General features: G+C 40.2%; 1 non-coding gene across 1 annotated transcript, besides 1 other annotated feature; it reads left to right on the top strand.

Moving 5' to 3' along the window:
- Nucleotides 2809-2968: a silencer, noted in NCBI's record as "fragment chr18:33522236-33522395 (GRCh37/hg19 assembly coordinates)". NCBI's record gives its function as "represses an EF-1alpha promoter that drives an FKBP-Casp9 reporter gene in an ReSE screen in phorbol 12-myristate 13-acetate-treated (for megakaryocytic differentiation) K562 erythroleukemia cells {active_cell/tissue: K562(+PMA)}" and the evidence as "EXISTENCE:reporter gene assay evidence [ECO:0000049][PMID:32094911]".
- Nucleotides 11099-11153, top strand: MIR3929 (microRNA 3929). Its single transcript, NR_037497.1, has one exon. It is a non-coding gene; the product is annotated as a microRNA 3929 (primary transcript).
- Nucleotides 11154-19878: the final 8725 nt, after the last annotated feature.

Genomic DNA, 19878 nt, shown 5'->3' with positions numbered 1-19878 from the left:
AAAGACAAATTCCTTGCAGAGGATTTTTTGCTCTTGTTAGACTATCATACTCTGTAAAAATGTAGGTATCACTATCTTTTCTTTTCTTTTTTTTTTTTTAAGAAATTGGATCATGCTGTGTTGCTCAGGCTGAAGTACAGTGATATGTTCATTGCTCACTGTAACCTTAAACTCGGGCTCAAGTGATCTTCCTGCCTCAGCCTCGCAAGTAGTCGGGACCACACGTGTGAGCTACAACACTATCATTCTTTAAGTTGGACACACCCTTAGTTGGTTGTGACATTTCTTTTTATAACTCCTGAGGGGCAGGTGGTACCACATATAGAAATTGATTTTGATTTTGTGAACTTGAGGCTGATGTGGGTTTATAAGTGCTGGTTGGAGACTGTACTCACATCTTAGTGCAGTCTGTCAATATGAGGGAAGAAAAACAATGGCTTATCCTAAAACAACTAGTTTTTACTATTTATGAGTAATCTACCCTTAGAAAGTTCAGACAGGACAGGAGGGTGTGAGGCCTCCCTCCTATTCCACTTGCCGGAGGTAGGTGGCTGCTGCTCAGAGTCTCTCATCCTTCTTTCTGTGTGTGTGCATTAACAAATACACATATGCATGTCTTGTTTCTATATAATGCAAATAGTGTCTCACTGTATGTTTTGTTATTGCATCTTTTTGTACATATCTAAATGTGTTCCCATTGCAGCATACATAGCTCTATTTCATTCTTTAAGCTGTACCATTGTATCCTCTTGCATGGCTGGACCACAATTGACCAATGCCATATGAAGATAATTTCCAAAAAGACTATGTTTAAAGCTAAATACTTCACTAGATTTTTAAAAATTATACAAAAAAAGCATGCCCACCATAGCATGTGTAACAAAGCAGAGACGTATAAAGAAAAATTCAGTAATACACTCTTTGCCTCTGATTGTACCCTTTGAGGTACAATCTGAATAGTTTGATTTGGAACTTTCTGCATCTTTCTCTCTGCTCAAATGTGTATGTGTCATGTGTGGAAATGTGCATGGACTTTTTTCCTATTATGTATTTGTTCAAAAATAAGCTTATTCTCTGGCCGGGCATGGTGGCTCACACTTGTAGTCCCAGCACTTTGGGAGACTGAGGCGGGTGGACCACTTGAGGTCAGGAGTTCAAGACTAGCCTGGACAACATGGCAAAATCCTGTCTCTACTAAAAATACAAAAATTAGCCAGGCATGGTGGCACATGCCTGTAATCCCAGCTACTCGGGAGGCTGAGACATGAGAATCGCTTGAACCCAGGAGGCGGAGGTTGCAGTGAGCTGAGATTGCACCACTGCACTCCAGCCTAGGTGACAGAGCTAGACTCCATCTCAAAAAAAAAAAAAAAGAAAGGCTTATTCTTTCTATATATGTCTCTAATTTTCTTTTATTTTCCTCCCTCTAAACAATATACCACTGGCCTATTTCTAGATAAGTAAGTATATGAGTAACTTATTCTTTTCCATGGCTGTATACTATTCATTGGTTCATTGGGACAGATATCATAATGTAGCCAGCCATTCCTCTATTTGAGATATTTAGAATATTTCCAGTTTTATTTTTTCCGTGATAAACAGTGCTAGTACTTTTATTCCTGTAGGAGAAATTCCTCAAAGTGTGACTCCTGGGCCAAAGGTGATGTATATTTCTAATTTTAATGGTTGTTGTCAGATTATTTTCCAAAAGATTGTAAAGATTTATATCCCCACCAGTGATATATGATATATGCATTTCCTCATATCTTCGTCAGTGCTACGTGTTGTTAGTCTTTAACATGTTTACCCATCTGTTCATATTGTTTTAATTTGAATTGGTCTTACAGTTAGTGGTGTTGGACATCTTTCTGGAGGCATGCAAGTTGGTTTGCCCATGTGTCTAATGGGTTTAAATGTGGTGACCTTTAAAAGATCACCTTCCAAGGCTAGAGTAGGACACAGCAGCATGGAGCAGGCATCATATTTATGGTGGGTGGGTATATGTCAGTTCGTGTCCCCTGGGTGGCTACCATCACCACAATGGGATGGTGATGCCCACCATTAACACCTCTTCCACCCAGCTGTGCTCCTGGGTCATCTCCATGGCTTCTGGGCTGCACAGTTCTAGGGGCCATGCTTATATGGTAAGTGGACAAGGAGTGGCAGCTCCCACAGACTCCCACAGATTGCGCCCTCTAGAGCTGTGCATTGCCAGGACCTTGGTCCTGCTTTGTGATAGCACTCACAAGGTTGTAAGTTAACCTCCATGTATGTGTGTGTTTGCCATCTTTTCAGTCATTGAGCTTGCTAAACTTTGATTCCCCATTGTTTAATCTAGTGCCTGGCACATCATCAGGCCTCCAAGTTGTTTGCTGATTGAGTGATTAAAAGTGTCTGCTAGATCTGGCAGGTTGTTTGGACACAGTGGCTCATGCCTGTAGTCCCAGCACTTTGGGAGGCCAAGGTGGGAAGATTACTTCAGCCCAGGAGTTTGAGACGAGCATCGTCAATTATAGTGAGACATTGTCTCTATAGAAAATGAAAAACGTAGCCAGGCACGGTGGTGCGTGCCTGTAGTCCCACTTACTCGAGAGGCTGAGGCAGGAGGATCGCTTGAGCCCAGGAGATTGAGGCTGGGGTAAGCTGTGTTCACATCACTGTACTCCAGCCTGGGCAACAGAGCAAGACCCTGTCTCAAAAAAAAAATAAAAAAAAAGCAGGTCTCTGAAAGTGGTGGGTAAGGGACCTGGTGTGTGTGTGTGTGTGTGTGTGTGTGGTGTGTGAGTGGGGTGTATGAGTGGGGTTTGTGTGAGAGTGGTATGTGTGTATGTGTGTATGTGTGTTTGTAGAAATGCCAGGCACTAGAACTGGGTTCAGGGGCAACTGAGAGGAAGCTCAACCCAGCAGGGTGGAGAGCTGCCCAGCAGCTCATGCCCTTTTCCCTCTACCCACTTCCCTTCCAGATAGTGACCTGTGAGGCCTCTGTGCTGTTCCCTCTCCCTCTGACTTGATCTTGGAGATGCCAGCCTTCTCTGAGAACTCCCTCCAACCCACAGCTCAAGAGGCCTCTTTGCACAAGGACAAGGGGATTATGTTAGATGAGGCCAATTATTCCCCCTACTATTAGTCCCTGCGAATATGGGGTCAGCAGACCAACATTTGACTTGTCTGTAGTTAAAAAGAAATTGTCCTAACCCCAAAGACAGAGCTCAGAAAAATAATGACTATTAATGATTAAAGGAGCTGTGTGTGTGAGCGCGTGTATGTGGTGTACGCATTTGTGTGTGGGACACATTGTGAAGGGATTGGGGGTTGGGGATCCGTAATCAAATGAACAACCAAAGCCAGACAGAATAACATTTCACTCATGTATTTATTTTCTTCTATTCATTCATACAACAGATTTTAGACAGGTTCAGTGCTCTCAACCTTTTTGAGGTCAAAAAAATTCTCTGATAATCTGATAAAAGCTATCAACATTTTCTCTCACAAAAGCACCCCTTACATACACAAAAGTGTTGCATACAATTTGGGGGGCTTCACCAATCCCCCAAGACCTCTAGGTTCCTTAGCCCTTTGGCTGTAACCTCGGAGGAGGAAAGATATCCTAGAGGTATCTGATTTCTTAAAGGACTATTACCACATTATAATTACTTTTTTTTCCCAAGAGCTAATTAAAGCACCCACAAAGCATTGAGATTTACTTAGTCAGCTGAGTCACAATGGAACAGTAAAGAAAGCGGGATGCAAGCGTCTGTTGCCAGAAGCACATGAATGCCAGGTGATGATTAGAAAAAAAATCTTATAAGAGAGATAAAAGGCATCGTTTTCACTTTGAACTTGAAAAACATCTACACTGCACAGAAGCATGTGGTCCAAGTTAAACGTGACAATAACGAACAACAGAAAAGAGTTCAGAGCTGTAATCATAGGCACTCAGAGCCGTAGAGACTTTTTAGAAGGTGCATAATGCATTTACCCTCAGTGCTTTCTTGTACATTTACTCCATAATTTTGCCATATTTTCCTATTCTAAAGCTAAATGTTTTCTTTATCATCACTTGATGGGAAAGGGCCCTGTATGATACCCACGCCAGAGGCCACACGCCTGCCAGCCCCAGGGACTGCTGGCAAGGCAGGAGCTGATGGGTATAGCTGAGAGCCTTCTAGAAAGGTGGATGGGAGAAGTGCAGGGGAGCCTCTTTTTCCATTGAGGGACTGTAATTTTCATACTGAGGCTTTTTTTTGCTTTTTTTTTTTTTTTGAGACGGAGTCTCACTCTGTCACCCAGGCTGGAGTGCGGTGGCACGTTCTCAGCTCACTGTAACTTCTGCCTCCTGGGTTCAAGCAATTCTCCTGCCTCAGACTCCCGAGTAGCTGAGACTACAAGTGTACAAGTGCATGCCACCATGCCCAGCTAATTTTTGTATTTTTTAGTAGAGATAGGGTTTCACTATGTTGGCCAGGCTGGTCTCGAACTCCTGACCTCTCAGGTGATCCACCCGCCTTGGCCTCCCAAAGTGCTGGGATTACAGGCATGAGCCATCATACCTGGCCAACCTGGGGTTTTCAAAACGTCCTCACCCTCCTAGGCGTTGGCTGTGAGTGACCTTTGCCGTAGGATTTGCCTATTTTCTTTTCTTGACTGTCAGTCAGTACCACCTCGACTGTCCAGGGTCTTTGAACACTAGTTTTCTGGATTAATAAACGTCAATCTGGCCGGGTGTGGTGGCTCACCCCTGTAATCTCAGCACTGTAGTAGGCCGAGGCGGGGAGATCACGAGGTCAGGAGTTTGAGACCAGCCTGGCCAACATGATGAAACCCTGTCTCTACTAAAGATACAAAAGACAATTAGCTGGGCATGGTGGCACGTGCCTGTAATCCCAGCTACTCAGGAGGCTGAGGCAGGAGAATCACTTGAACCTGGGAGGTGGAGGTTGCGGTGAGCCAAGATCGTGCCACTGCACTCCAGCCTGGGTGACAGGGAGAGACTCGGTATCAAAAAATAAAAATAAATAAATAAATAAATAAATAAATAAATAAATAAATGTCAATCCTTTACATCCACATGCCCTGTATCTTTGAACAGAAATCTTTCCAAAATCTCCCCGCATGTTTTGACCTCACTGAACTGAATAAATTGGTTTTATTCTGGGTAGGATGGGGAGGAAGCCCCAATGGGTTGGTTAGTGCTCTGGGAGTCCATGCTGGCTGAGAAGAGTTCCAAGGGTTGGGCTAATTACCTGTTTGCCTCTTTCTCACAGAAGTGCAAATGAAACTGTGGGGCATCTGACCTGGAGGTAGTTTAACGTGGCTGCTTTTTCTTCAAAATTAATCAATGAGTTATAAGCAGAAGCAATCTTTTTCCACAATGCATAACACTTTATTAAATGCCAGAAAAACTCCACCTTTTTCTTTTTCTCTGCCTTTCTCTGTGTCCTTTGATTTTCCACTGACTTCCCAAACATTGTCTATTTATGCATCTTGAACACAATGTATTTCTTCAGCCTGCTCTTCTATCTTACTGATATTGAAGTTGTTACAATATGCAGGAGATGCATCCTTCGCCATTTCGAGGTTTTATCCAAGGCCAACTTTGTCTGCTGAGTGTACCTTTGCCAACGTAATACGAGACTACAGTTCCTCCATGGCTTCCTTGATAGTTTACTTTTTCACTGAATTCCAAGCACAGGCAATATCTGAAAATTAGATTTTTAGTATTCTGAGACCAAAAGTCTCGTAGGATGCTGTGCCAGTTATCAAGCTGTTGGTTCTTAGCTGCAAAGCCACCCTGCCCTGCTCTGCTCTGTGAGGCTGGGGCTGCTACTCCGCAAATCCCATTTCTGCTTCTCCAGTAAGGCTCTGTCAATAGGGGGTGCTAGATAGAAACTGCAAGGCTGCGGGAGGGAGAAGGGACTTGCTGTGGCCTCCCCTTCCCTGCTTGTGGTTCCTGTGAAATTCAGCCCAATAATGATTCTTCACTCTGGCAGAGACAGTTCCTCCCATGGAAGCGACTGAATCCTGTTTTTCAACACTTGTAAAGCCAGTTTCATCCTGTCACTCTGAGAGACATCAGCACCTACCACCCAGCACTTCCGCTTCAGAGGTTTGAGTTCCAGACCCACTGGGCTCTTGTCCAAGCTCAGAGACATCAGCACCAACTGGCCAGTACCCTCTCCTCAAAGGTCTGGGCCCCTGTCCCTCTGAGCAGCTCAGAAACACCAGTGCCAGTGGAAGCAGCTTGCCCTCTTGTGACTGAGGTAACTAGCCTTCCCTTCCTGGAAAATTTTCTCATGAAATGTTTCATAAAATGAAATTCTCTAATAGCACTTTATTTTCTGAAAAATGTCTTGGTCCATAAGTTGAATCTCGGAGGTAAGAGTGATGGATACAAAAAGGATAACACTAACCTTGGACTCTTCCCTTGCTCAAGAGGAGCCCCACATATGCAGCAGTTGAGTCATTTGCTGTCCTCAGGCAAACCCCTAGGTCTGTAATAACCATTAGATACATTTGCATAAATATAATGCAATCATGAAAGTCTCTTTCTCAGCCATGCATTGACTTATACTTTGCAAAGAGCTGGTAAAAATGTGACACCTTGGAGAGCCTGGAAAAGATTAGATTTTTCCCTAGGCACCAAAGGTTCTGTTTTTGTTTTTTAATTTTTTAGTGGATACCTATAGCATTAGAATATTCCCTAAGAATCAATGTGTCCCTTTTTTCCAGCTTAAAATCAAGGGCATGTGCACCACTTACAGGGAAACTGGCAAGCAACAGTAAACAAACCCATTTTATCAGCTTTATATAAATACCCGAGAGAAAGAAATACATTTATCTGAGAACACCACACATTATCCAAGAACTCCATGGTCCAGTGATTCTTGTCATGACTCACTTTGAAATAGACAAGTCATTGTTTAGAAAATATGTAGCTCAGTCAGACATATTTGTTCATTGAAATCTTTTGCCTTTGGCTGAGCCCTGAGCCAATATTTCCCTGAAAACCTCTTCCTCCTCTGCAACTTCTTTCTCCAGAGCAGGACAGTGGTCAATGACTTTAACAATCAAATATGAACCTGCTGAGAATTTGATGAGATCCTTTCTGATCTCTGATGTCCTATAATGCAGATGCCTTCTCTTGCTTTAAGTTTCCTTTCTTGCAGAGCCTGAGACAAGGATGTCTCAGCTAGTTTATTTGGGATGTGATTCCCAAAGAAGGGAGCATGGGGTAGAGAGGAAGCAGAGGTTACCTCTAAAGTTGGTGGAGCTCGATTCTGTCAGGCCTGGAGTTAGCACACAGAAGGCCTCTCAGAACCATCTGCTGTAGGCCAGGAGCCTAGAGCATTTCTCCATTTGCTTCCATTGCCAATTGGTTGAAGGCTACCTGGGGCAGTTCACTATCTTGCACTTCTGGGCTGCATAGAGTGGGATTATGTGAGACAGCACAAGCTGGGGTTGGGGATGCTGTCACAGCTCACATGAAACTGTCTCCCACAGTTGCAGCTCCAGTCAGAGCAGGGTAGATGGGATGGTCATAGTCACCAGAAGTGAGCAGCTGGCTTTGGAGCTGGACTACCTGGGATCAGGTCCCTAGCTCCATCACTGATTAGCCATGAGATTTTGGGCACATAAACATTACTTTTCTTGTCAGTGTAACAGGGGTAATAATAGTGCTTACCTTATGGAGTGTTGTGATCAGTAAAGATTAGCTATGGTTATCCAACAATGCTCTCCTTGTTTAAACTGTGTGCAAATCTCCCTTTTATCTTTTAAGGTGGGCAAGACTTCTCGGTGTTTCTGTATTTCTCTTCTGTGCCAGCACATGCTCAATGAAGTACCCCTTCCCTTTCCAGTTGCATACTTTAGGGTTTTGCAGCTTAGCTGCCCTTCTGAGGACTCCCCCACATGGTTTCCCTCCTCCTTTTTCATCTCTCTGCTTCTCCACCTCCCTACCCTGTTTGTCCTCAGGGTACAGAGGGGCTGCAGAGTTCAAGCCCTCAGTGTGCCCTCCTGCTGCTGCTGACAACAACCCTGTGGGGCTGGGATCACATTGTACTTCCTTGAAAAACTCACTGCACCCCGCCCTACTTTCTTGCAAGTGCTGATGTAAACATTTCTCTGCCAGAATCTGATAACATTCTAACACTGCCAGTACATAGATTAATGTCAACACTTTTGGTGATGCTCTAAATACAGATAAGCTAAAGTGGTTCAGCTAATGTCAGCATTCAAGGGCCTAAACTTCCCAAACTGACTACAGCTGCTCTAGAGCTTACTTACTACTGCTAGGAAAAAGCGTCATACCTCCCAGCAAACATAGATATTTTTCTTTTTCAGATAGTAAGATACAGGTTGAGTTGAGTATCCCTTATCTGAAATGCTTGAAACCAGAAGTGTTGCAGATTTCAATATTTTTCAGATTTTGGAATATTTGCATTACATTTAGTTGTTCAGCATCCCTAAGTCAAAAAATCTAAAATTGGAAATGCTCCAATGAGCGTCTCTTTTGAGCATCATGTTGGTACTTAAAAAGTTTTGGATTTTAGAGCATTTCAGATTTCAGCTTTCCAGAGTAGGGATACTCAACCTGTAATAATTTTAACCTTGGCTGACAGAATGCTCGGAGCTAAATTGTATGTTCCAACCTAAGAGTTATACTTCACTGATGTTTTCTGATATATCCATCTTTTCCCCTGGATAATTAACTCTTATTTTATTATCCTAATATATAGGTATTTTGTTGTAAGCCATGTGAAATCCTTATAGAAGTAAGCAGTGCGTGAGTAGAAAATGATGCGTGAATTATTAGAGGTGTCATTGCCCCATGAAAATATACAACCTATGTTGGTTATATAGTCGTTCCTGAACACAACATCTTTCAAGGCCAGGATTTCTAAAACTCATTACATGAGTAGTTGGTAGTTTCCATTCTCTTTTGTTTAATATTTCAGAGGATATGTAGTATTTTAGTGAGGAGGTTTTGGGTGCAGGGTACTAAAAACCTAATCCAATGCACAGGTTTGAACATTAGATGGGATTCACTAAGTTTTTGCGACACAAATGCTTGGTGGGCTCCAGGTGTGGTTTGATCAGGGTTCTGGTTCTGTCTTAACTTCTCTTAGTTTCTCTTGCCCTGTGTGGGCTTTGTCTTCAGGCTGGCTTTCCTCGGCAGGGCAGGCCTGCCAGTTGTCTCTGATGAAGACATACTCTCTCTGCAGGAGTTCATCCCTGAACAAAATACCACAGCAAGGGGAGTGGGGGATGCCCTGATTGGGCTAGACTGGTCAGGCCCGGGCTGATGCTGGGATGCACGGGGGAGTCAACCCCACACAAAACCCAGGTGCTTCACAGTGGGGGTGGGGTGGGGTGGCAGACAGGAAGGGAGGTTTATTCTCACTCCATTGACAAGGCTGATGAAAAGAACCACTAGGAGAAGAGCTACTATAAAACTCTGCACATATAATTATTAGGGATGAACAATGCCAGGTTGTGCTTGATGGGCCTTCTAAGTCCTTTTGGAGCCCTCTCACTTTCTGGTAAGCCTTTAGACAAAATCTGCTTTGCGATGCCTCTAGAATGGGGCAGGTGGAAAGCTTCCTGCAATTACATTCCTTTTATATAATGTTTCTCCACCAGAGGTTTGCAGTTTTATAGGATTCACCTGCCAATTGGCAACTGATTTGAGACACGTTAGTGCATCAGCAGAAGTGGGGGACATGCCGAGGGAGCAGCCTGGTGCTTGGCGGAATGTATCCTCTAATCACTTTTCGCCAGAAAGACCCTTAAAGCAATTATACGCTTCTGCAAAGAGAACTGGAAAAGGGTTCTGGATACTTTCTCCTCTTAATTAACCAAAGAATATGCCAATTCTTTTTAGAAAGTAAACTTTTTTCCCTAGTAACTATATTGTCCCATATCTGGTTATAATTTGTGTCTGAAGTAAGTAATTAATAGAGGACTGCCAGAATTTATGAGAATAAGAAACCCCATGAGTTCACGCGTGCACACACACACACTCAGAGGACATTGATATAGTTTGGATACTTGTGCCCTACAAATCTCACGTTGGAATGGCAACCCCAATGTTGGAGGTGGGCCTAGTGGGAGGTGTTTGCATCACAGGGGTGGATCCCTCTTGAGTGGCCTGGTGCCATCCTTGCAGTAATGAGGGAGTTCTTGCTCTACCAATTCGCCCAAGATCTGGTTATTTAAAAGAGCCTGAGACTTCCTTCTCTCTCTTGCTCCCTCTCTCACTACGTGATATACTGGCTCCCCTTCACCTGCTGCCATGATTGGAAGCTTCTGAGGCCCTATGCTTCCTGTATAGGCTGCAGAAGCATGAGCCAAATAAACCCCTGTTCTTTATAAATTACCCAGTTTCAGGTATTCCTTTATTGCAAAGTAAACAGTCTAAGAAAACTGCTGTTTTCTTTACTTGTAATGTGCTTTTCACTGCCTAGCTAAAAGGAGACAATGGCCTCTGTAAAGCACCTTGTCATGGACAAGTGATGCTGGCATATCATTATAATTGTGACCTATGAAATCTTTGCCTATTCTCAGGTTTCAAATATTTTTCTCCTGACAGTTCTATATAGTATACCCTGCTTATCTGCTGGGGACATATTCCAAGACCCCCCAGTGGATACCTGAAACCATGGATACTAAAGAACTGTATATATACTGTGTTGTTTTCCTATATGTATTATTATAAAGTTTAATTTATAAATTATATTATATTATATATAATATTATATTATTATAAAGTTTAATTTATAAATTAGGCACAGGAAGAGATTACAGCAAATTATAATAAAACAGACAATTATAATGATATGCCAGCACCACTATTCTTGCACACTGGGGCCATTACGAACTAAAATAAGGGTTACTTGAACATCAGCACTGTGATGTCACGGCAGTTGATCTGATAACCCAGATGGCTACTAAATGACCCATAGGCAGGTAGCATCTACAGTGTAGATCCACGAGACAAAGGGATGATTCACATCCTAGGAGGGACGGGACAGATGGCCTGAGATTTCATCATGCTACTCAGAACAGCACACAATTTAAAACGTATGAGTTGGCCAGGTGCAGTGGCTCACACCAGTAATCCCAGCACTTTGGGAGGCTGATGTGAGTAGACCACTTGAGCCCGGGAGTTCAAGACCAGCCTGGGCAACATGGCGAACTCCTATCTTTACAAAAAATACAAAAATTAACCAGGCGTGGTGGTGCATGTCTATAGTCCCAGATACTCAGGGGGCTGAGGTTGGAGGATTGCTTGAGCCTGAGAGACCAAGGCTGCAGTGAGCCAAGACTGCGCCATTGCACTCCAGCCTGGGTGACAGAGTGAGATTCTGTCTCAAAAAAATTTTTTTAAAAAGGGATGAATTATTTATTTCTAAAATTTCTCTTTTAGTTTTTTGGATGTGAGTGGATGATGAGCCACATGTCCCTTTGGTTGGCTGAGGGTAACTGAAACCATGGAAAGCAAAACTGTGGTTAAAGGGGGACTACTATAATTTTAGCTGTATTATGTTTAGGTCTATCATCCATATTGAATTAATTTTGTGCATGAGTTGAGATAGGAATTGAGATTCATTTTCTTCCCCATATGGATATCTATTTTTCCAGCATCATTTCTAGAAAAGCGCTTACTTTTCCCATTGGAGCTTCGGTGGCTTTGTCAGTCATTAAGTAACCTTATAGGTGTGAGTCTAGGTCTAGGCTGCCTGTTGTGTTTTATTCATGTATTTGCATAAACTTGCTTTGTGTACATTAGCTTGGCTACTGGAGCCTCAAACTCAGGTTGTGGAAGTCCTCATATTCTGTCTTGTCAGTATTAATTTAGAGATCCTAGGACCTTAGTATTTCCATATAAATGTCAGAATCAATATGTCAGTTTCTCTGAAAACTTGACCTAATTATCAGTCAGATTGCATTGAATCTATAGATCAATCTGAGGAGACTGTATATTATAAAAGCATTGGGTTTTTCAACTTATGAACATGAAATGCCTCTCCATGTATTTAGGTCTTCTAAATTCATAGTTTTCTGCATAGAGTTATTAAATACCTTTTGTTAACCTTATTTCTAAGTATTTAATGTTCTAGATATCATTATAAATAAAATTGGTTTTTAAACTTTTTTTTTGCTGGTAGTAAATCGAAATATAATTGATTTTTTCAGATTGATCTTGTATTCTGTGACCTTGCTATTTTTACATAAATTCCTCAGGATTCTCTTTGCAAACAATGATGTCATTTATACACAAAGGGAGTTTTACTTCTTAATTTTCAATCTTTATGCCTATTATTTCATTTTGTTTTATTTTACTGCCTAGGACCTCCAGTACAATGTTGAACAGAAGTGGTGACAGTAAACATTTTTAGCTTGTTCTTGATAATAAAAGAGGACAATATTTCACCATTATCATAAATGGCAGTTGAACTTAGGGAAATAATGTTTCTGCTTATGAAATGATTACATATTTGTCTTCTCTTTCGTTTTGTTAATATGGTGGATTACATTGACAATTTAATATGTTAAATCAACATTGCACTCTTGTGATACACCTACTTCTTCATGGAATATGAACTTTTGCATGTATTTTTGTATTTGATTTGCTAGTAGTTTGTTTAGGTTCATGAGGGATATTCTGTAGTTTTCTTTTATTGTAATATATTTGCTAGTTTTTTGGTATCAAATTTATATAGGCCTCATAAAAGTGATTCAGACAGTGTTCTCTTCTCTTGTGTTTTAGAAAGAGTTTGTCTATATTTGATGTCATTTCTTTCTCAAATGTTTGACAGAATCAACAAAGAAACTATCTGAGTCTAGAATTTTCTTTGTGTGAAGATTTTTGATAATACGTTCAATTTCTTTACTAAGTATAAGGCTAGTAACATTTTTTCATTGTGTGTTATTTTTATTTTTCAAAGGATTATTCCATTTTATCCAAATTGACAAATTTATTGGCATAAAGTATTCATATATTGCCTTATTATGTTTTAAATGTCTATTGGCTCTATACTGGTGTCCCTGATTTCATTCTTGATATTGCTAATTTGTGTCTTCTTTTTTCCTTTCTTCGTCCAGGTAGAGGTATATAGTTTTTATTCGTATTTTTAAAGAACCATATTTTGGCTCTGTTATTTGTCTGTTGTTTGTCTGCTTTCTCTTTCATTAGTTTTGGCTTTATTTTCTCATGCCTTAGCATTTCTTATAATGTAGATCTGCCAGCAATGAACTCAGGTAGTTTTTATTTGCCTGAAAATATTTTTCTTACTTTCATTCTTGGAGAATATTTTGTTTGGATATCAAATTCTAGGTTGACAGTGTTCCCCCTACCCCCGCACTTTAACTGTGTGGTTCCATTATTTTCTGGCCTATGTTTATCTGATGAAAAGTTGGCCATCATTTATATTCTTATTCCCTTCTACGCAATTTATCTTTTTTTGAGATAGGGTCTCCCTCTGTCACCCATGCTAGAGTGCAGTGATGTGATCTCAGCTTACTGCAACCTTCACCTCTCAAGCTCAAGCGAGCCTCCCACCTCAGCCCTCCAAGTAGCTGGGACCACAGGTGCATGCCACCACACCCGGCTAATTTTTTTATTTTTAGTAGAGATGGGGTTTTGCTATGTTGTTCAGCCTAGTCTCAAACTCATGAGCTGAAGCGATATGTCTGCCTCAGTCTTCCAAAGTGCTGGGATTACAAGCATGAGCCACCATACCCAGACTTTAATTTATCATTTTTATTTGGCTGGTTTTTTTTTTTTTTTTTTTTTTTTTTTTTTTTCACAAATGGGGGTCCACTATGTTGCTCAAGCTGGTCTCGAACTCCTGGCGTCAAGCAATCCTCCCACCTTAGTCTCCCAAAATGCTGGGATTATAGGCATGAGCCACCATGCCCAGCCAATAATTTTTTTAACCTCTGATTTCAGAAGTTTGATTGTAATGTATATGCACACATACACACACACATATGTGTGTATATATATATATGCATGTAGAGATATACATGTGACATTGACAATTTTAATATGTTAAATCAACATTGCATTCTTGTGATAAACCTACTTGTTCATGGTGTTTTTTCTGAATATATTTTTGTATTTGCATATATATTTGTATTTGCATATTTTTTGTATGTATCTCCACATAGCATATATGTGTGTGTGTGTGTGTGTGTGTGTGTGTGTGTGTGTGTGTATATATATATATATATATATATATACATATTTATTTATTTCACTAAATTTGGGGACATTTTGGCCCTTGTTTTTCAAAAAACCTTAATTTTTGCTTCATTCTTTCTCTCTTTTTTTGGAGACCCAATTATATTTATGTTATACCTTTTGATATTATCCGATAGGTTAAATTTTTTTCTTGAGATTGAATTATGTTGATTAATCTTTTTTTCAAAATCACAGGTTCTTTCTTCTAACATTTTCAATATTCTATTAAGCCCATCCAGTGAATTTTTTATTTTACATGTTGTAATTGTGAGCTTGGTATATTTAATGTTTCTATTTCTCTGCAAAGATTTCCTATTTGTCAATTCATTAGGAGCTTATTTTCTTTGCATCTTTGAACATAGTTTCATTTGCTGCTTTAAAAATCTTCATCTGTTAAATCCAACGTGTTGGTTATATTAGGATCAATCTCCATGGGCTGCCTTTGTCTTTTGTATATGGAGTGCCATTTCCTGTTTGTGTGTGCATGAGTGTGCACACACACTCACCTGTATGTCTAGTGATTTTTATTTTATTCTGGACATTGTGGACAACGTGCTATACAGCCTATGGCTTCTCTTATGGTTCCTCTGAAGAGATTTAAATTTTTGTTTTAGGCCAGGTGCAGTGACTTACACCTATAATCCCAGCACTTTGGGAAGCCAAGGTGGGAGAATTACTTGAGCGCAGGAGTTTGAGACCAGCCTGGGCAACACAGGGAGACTTCCTCTCTACTAAAAATTAAAAGACAAGTTAGACATGGTGGCATGTACCTGTAGTCCCAGCTACTTGGGAGGCTGAGGCCAAGGATTGCTTGAGCCCATAAGCTTGAGGTTGCAGTGAGCTATGATTGTGCCACTGACCTCCAGCTTGGGTGACAGAGCGAGACTTTGTGTCAAAAAAAAAAGTTCTATTTAAGCAGAAAATTAACTTGGTTGAACTCAAATTCCAAAAATCTGTCATAGCTGTGGTGAGAAACAGCTGACATTTTGTCTAATTCTTTTAGTCTTACATAGGCTGCTTGAAGTCTGTCTCATACATGCATAGTTCAGGGGCGTTGAGAGATTTACAGAGTTTATATTCTGAATTTGGAGCTCCTCTTCCATGGCTCTCTCCTTTTAATGCTTTCTCTCAGCACTTTTCAGCTGTGGTGATAGCTCTGAGTTTTATCCTTTGATTTCCCCAAGCCAGTAAGACTGCAAGTTTCTATTTGATTTCAAGATGCCCTGGGAGGTGCCAACTGGGATCTTGCTGCCTTCAGGCAAGAAGCTGTGAAAACAGAAAACTCATTAGTGTGGGTCACTTCTTTGAAGGGCAGACTCCTGTCCAGTTTCTGTTTTCTTTTGGTCCCCTTTCAGTGCCTTTAGATTGTTATTTTTAGATAGTTTTAAAAAATATTTCTTCCAGAATTTGTAGTTGTTATCTGCAGATTGGTCTTACACAGACTTCCCTACCATTACCATGTCAGTTGTCTTTTGACTTTGTTCATGATGTTTTTTAACATTCAGACATCTTTTATTTTTATAAATGTAAATTAATCAATATTTTCTTTTATTGCCTCTGGATTTTAGGTCACAGTTCTTTCTTCACACCCAAGTTAAACAGAAATTCACCTATGTTTTCTTCTAGTGCTTGTATGGATTTGTTAAAAATTTTTACGTTATTTTCCTAATATATTCAGAGTTTGTGTATAAAGTGTGAGGTATAATTTAATTTTATCTTTTTACAAATGGTTAATTAGTTGTCCCAAGGCTATTTATTAAAAAGTCCATCTTTGTCCTAATGATATGAGATGTAACCTTTATTGTATTCTAAATTTCCATGTATACTGTGGTCTATTTTGAAATTTATATTCTATTCTGTCCACTCACTGGCATCTCACTGTTTTAATTAAAGAGGCTTTAATGTATGTTTTCATATAGGAAAGTGTTAGTCCTGACTTGTATCTTTTCTTTTTCATTGTTTTCCAATTTCTGTGCGTTTACTTTTCACTGTAAATTTTTAAACAGCCATATTGGGATGTAATTTACATACCACACATTTTACCCATTTAACATGTCCAATTTAATATTTTTTAGTATATTCAATATGTTTTGTATATTGAAAACATCATCCCCATTTAATTTTAGAACATTGTTGCCCCTCCTAAAAGAAACCCTATACCCATTATCAGTCATTCCCTATTCTTTCCCCTACCCTCCTCCCAGCCCTAAGCCATCACTATTCTATTTATTTTATTTTATTTTTTTTTTGAGACTGAGTCTCCTTCTCTTGCTCAGCTTGGAGTGCAGTGGCATGATCTCAGCTGACTGCAACCTCCACCTCTTGGGCTCAAGTGATTCTCATGTCTCAGCCTCCTGAGTAGCTGGGATTACAGGCATGCACCACTGTGCCCAGCTAATTTTTGTATTTTTAGTAGAGACAGGGTTTCACCCTGTTGGCCAGGCTAGTCTAAAGCTTCTGGCCTCAAGTGATCCACCCATCTCGGCCTCCCAAAGTGCTGGAATTACAGGTATGAGCCATTGCACCTGGCCTCTGCTTTCTTTCTCTATAAATTTGCCTACTTTGGACATTTCATATAAATAGAATCATATAACGTGATATTTTGTGATTAATCATATAAATTTTAGTGCCAACTTAGCATCATAAAAAATGCTTGCTGGTATTTTTATTGATATTTCATTAAATTTATAAATTAAGGAGAACTGACATCTTTATGATATAGAGTTTTCCTACAAGAAGAATAAGAGCTGTTTTTCCATTTGTTCAAATCTAGTTTTCTGTCATCAGGAATTTGAAATTTTCCTCATTTAGATTTTACACATTTCTTTTAAAGTTTATTCCTATATATTTTATTTCATGTTGTGTTGCTATTATAAATGGGATTTGCAGTACCATTATATTTTCTAACTGGTTATTGTTTGTCTTTTTAAAGACTATTGTTTCTAAAGGTTAATTTTACCTTCTTTTATCTTATTGAATTATTTTATTGTTTTAGTTGTATTGATTTTCTAAGACTTTCCAAGTATACTCTCATATCATCTTCAAATAGAAATGGGTTTACTTCTTTTGCAATTCTCTAAGTCTTGCAAATATCTAAGTGCTCTCCCTTATCTATAGGCATTGACTATTATCTGCCATACAATGTTGAATAACAGAGGAAATAAAAGTCATTCTCACTTTGTTTCTTATCTTAATAGAAATGCTCCTAATGGGAAACAAATCCTTTCGTTAGCATACACACCTTGAATGGCTTATTCTTGTCTGTTTAATAAATTAATATTTATTCCTCTGTCTCTTGGAGTTATGATTAACCTCAAATCTTTGCTTTGGATTCACAAATCCATTTTGTGACTCACAGTGATATTAGATTACATGGAGTCATGTTACAAGCTATATGTTAATGTACGAAATCTGTCCCAATGTCTCCAGCTTGGGTCACTATACTCTAAAAGACTTTTGCCAATTTAAATGGGTAAAATGTTATCTTTTTGGTATAATCACTCCAGAAAACTTTATGGCAGTATTTACTAAAGCAAGAACATATACTATGATCCAGCGATTTCCTCCTGTATATATCCCAGAGAATGACTGCTATGTCCTACAAAGAACATGGGTTAGAATGTCCATAAAACCTTTATTCATAATAGCTAAAAACCACAAACAATCCAAATTCTCATTGTAAGTAAAATGGATATGAGACAGGAGAGTTCCCTTGACCCCCACACAGGACTTACGACAGGGGTGGCTCATTTACTCGGCCACCATACTCAAACCCTTTGCAGGAGGGGGAGCATGCAGGTGAGCAGGTGCAGGAGCTGAGAGAATACCTTTGGGTACCAGCAGGAATGAGCTCTGTACTGGCCCGTGGCAGCATCTAGGGGTTGCCCACAATTTCTGGAGGCCCAGAGGGTATATGTTACAAACAATGCTCTTTTAGCCCTGCCTTCCGTCCCTTCCGTCCGTGAATGGCTTAAGTGTTAAACAGCTCAGTGAAGAGTCAGCGTGACAGCCTTTTTGGGTTCCCGTACCCAGTGCATCCTGAATTCTTGTCTGGAGTCCAGGAAGAATCAGGTTTACGTGAACAGATTAAAGCGTGGCGTATGTGGAGGATTTTATTGAGCAGTCGAAGTGGCTCTCAGTGGGATGGGGAGCTGGAAAGGGAATGGAATGGGAAGATAATCCCTGACCATCCCCAGCCAAACTCAGAACATTTGGATGCTTCTTCTTTCTCTCCTCTGCTGCACTACTCTGTTCCTCCACCAGTGGAGCTTGGGGTTTTTATGGGTACAGGGTGGGGGCTGTGGTGGGCCAGGGTGTTTTTGGAAAAGGTAGCATTCAGGTCAAAATGCATATTCTCATTTAGGGTGGCAGATCCAGACTTTAGAGTGGAGCCCTTGCCAGGGACCCTGCCCTTTTCTACACAGTATTTCCCTGCCTTCTGTCCATGTCTTATGATACATTCAAACAATGGAATTCTATGTAGCAACAAGAATGAACTGTCTGTACCTATTTGCAACCATGTGGATAAATCTCACAAGAATGATGAGTGAAAGAAACCAGAAACAAAACATCACTTACTGTACGTGTTCATTAACATAAAGTTCAAAGATAGATTAAAAAAAAAGTCAATGATTACAGAATAGTTACTGGAGGGGAGGGACAATTAGGGGCAGGTAATATTCTGCTTCTTGATCGAGTGCTGGTGTTCTGGTTCTCTTTTCATGATGATTTGTGAAGTTTTCTGCATGTATGTTATACTTCAATAATTTTTAAACTAAATTTAAAAATAAATAAATTTAAAAATTAAAAATTTTTTTAACTAAAATTTTTTCACCAAATTCCAAATGCCAGGGAATGGGGAGGTGACCTTTTCTCTTTTATGGACCTTTGGGAAGGAGACCCATAAAGTTAAGGAAATTCTCAATTCGTTGCACAACTGTCATTCTCCTCTTCTTTAGGACATATGAAACCATTGTGCCAATGTAGATCAGAACCTAGATGTTTAGTATTTGCTTTCCTTATGCACTTTGAATATTGCATCAGGAACTACTCTACTTCCAAGTAGGGGAGCCAAGTCCTTGAAAGTGGCTCCTGGTGGACACCTGTTTTCCAGAGGGATTGTTGTTCTTTCCTGTGTGCTGATTGTCAGTTAGGACACATGTGTCGGGTTCTATAGTCGGTAAACTTGTTTCAGGTCCAGAAATCTGCCTGGAAGAGCAATTTCAAACTTACTACAGTCAGAGTGTCAGCAAAAGCTTAGAAGTTTCCTCCAAGGTGGTGGCATACATCCACAGCTCCACCTGCCAGGAATTAAGCTGGGAATGTGGGAATGTTGATCTCTGTACCCTGAGTGGGCTTGGCATTCTGTAGCATTGCTTTCACCTAATTGCAATCTCAAGGCTAGACCATCAGGCTGAGTTGATGAGGACATTCACTTTGTGACACAGTCTTTGCTTTCCTGGGACCCTCAGGAGGAGAAATGTGGCCTACTTGAAGAACAGGACACTGGCACTTCTCAGCATGCCACTTATTTTTATCTTAACAACACTGTGAACCAGGTAAGCTTCTCCTTTCAGTGTTAGAAGCTTCTGAAAGCCAAATGTAAGGATTTAAACGTGTCTACAGGGCTTTAC

The sequence above is a fragment of the Homo sapiens genome, chromosome 18 (genome assembly GCF_000001405.40).
Source record: "Homo sapiens chromosome 18, GRCh38.p14 Primary Assembly".
In the NCBI taxonomy this organism is placed as follows: domain Eukaryota; kingdom Metazoa; phylum Chordata; class Mammalia; order Primates; family Hominidae; genus Homo; species Homo sapiens.
Note: the sequence above shows the minus strand (reverse complement) of the source record. Positions and strands in the feature narration are given on the sequence as shown.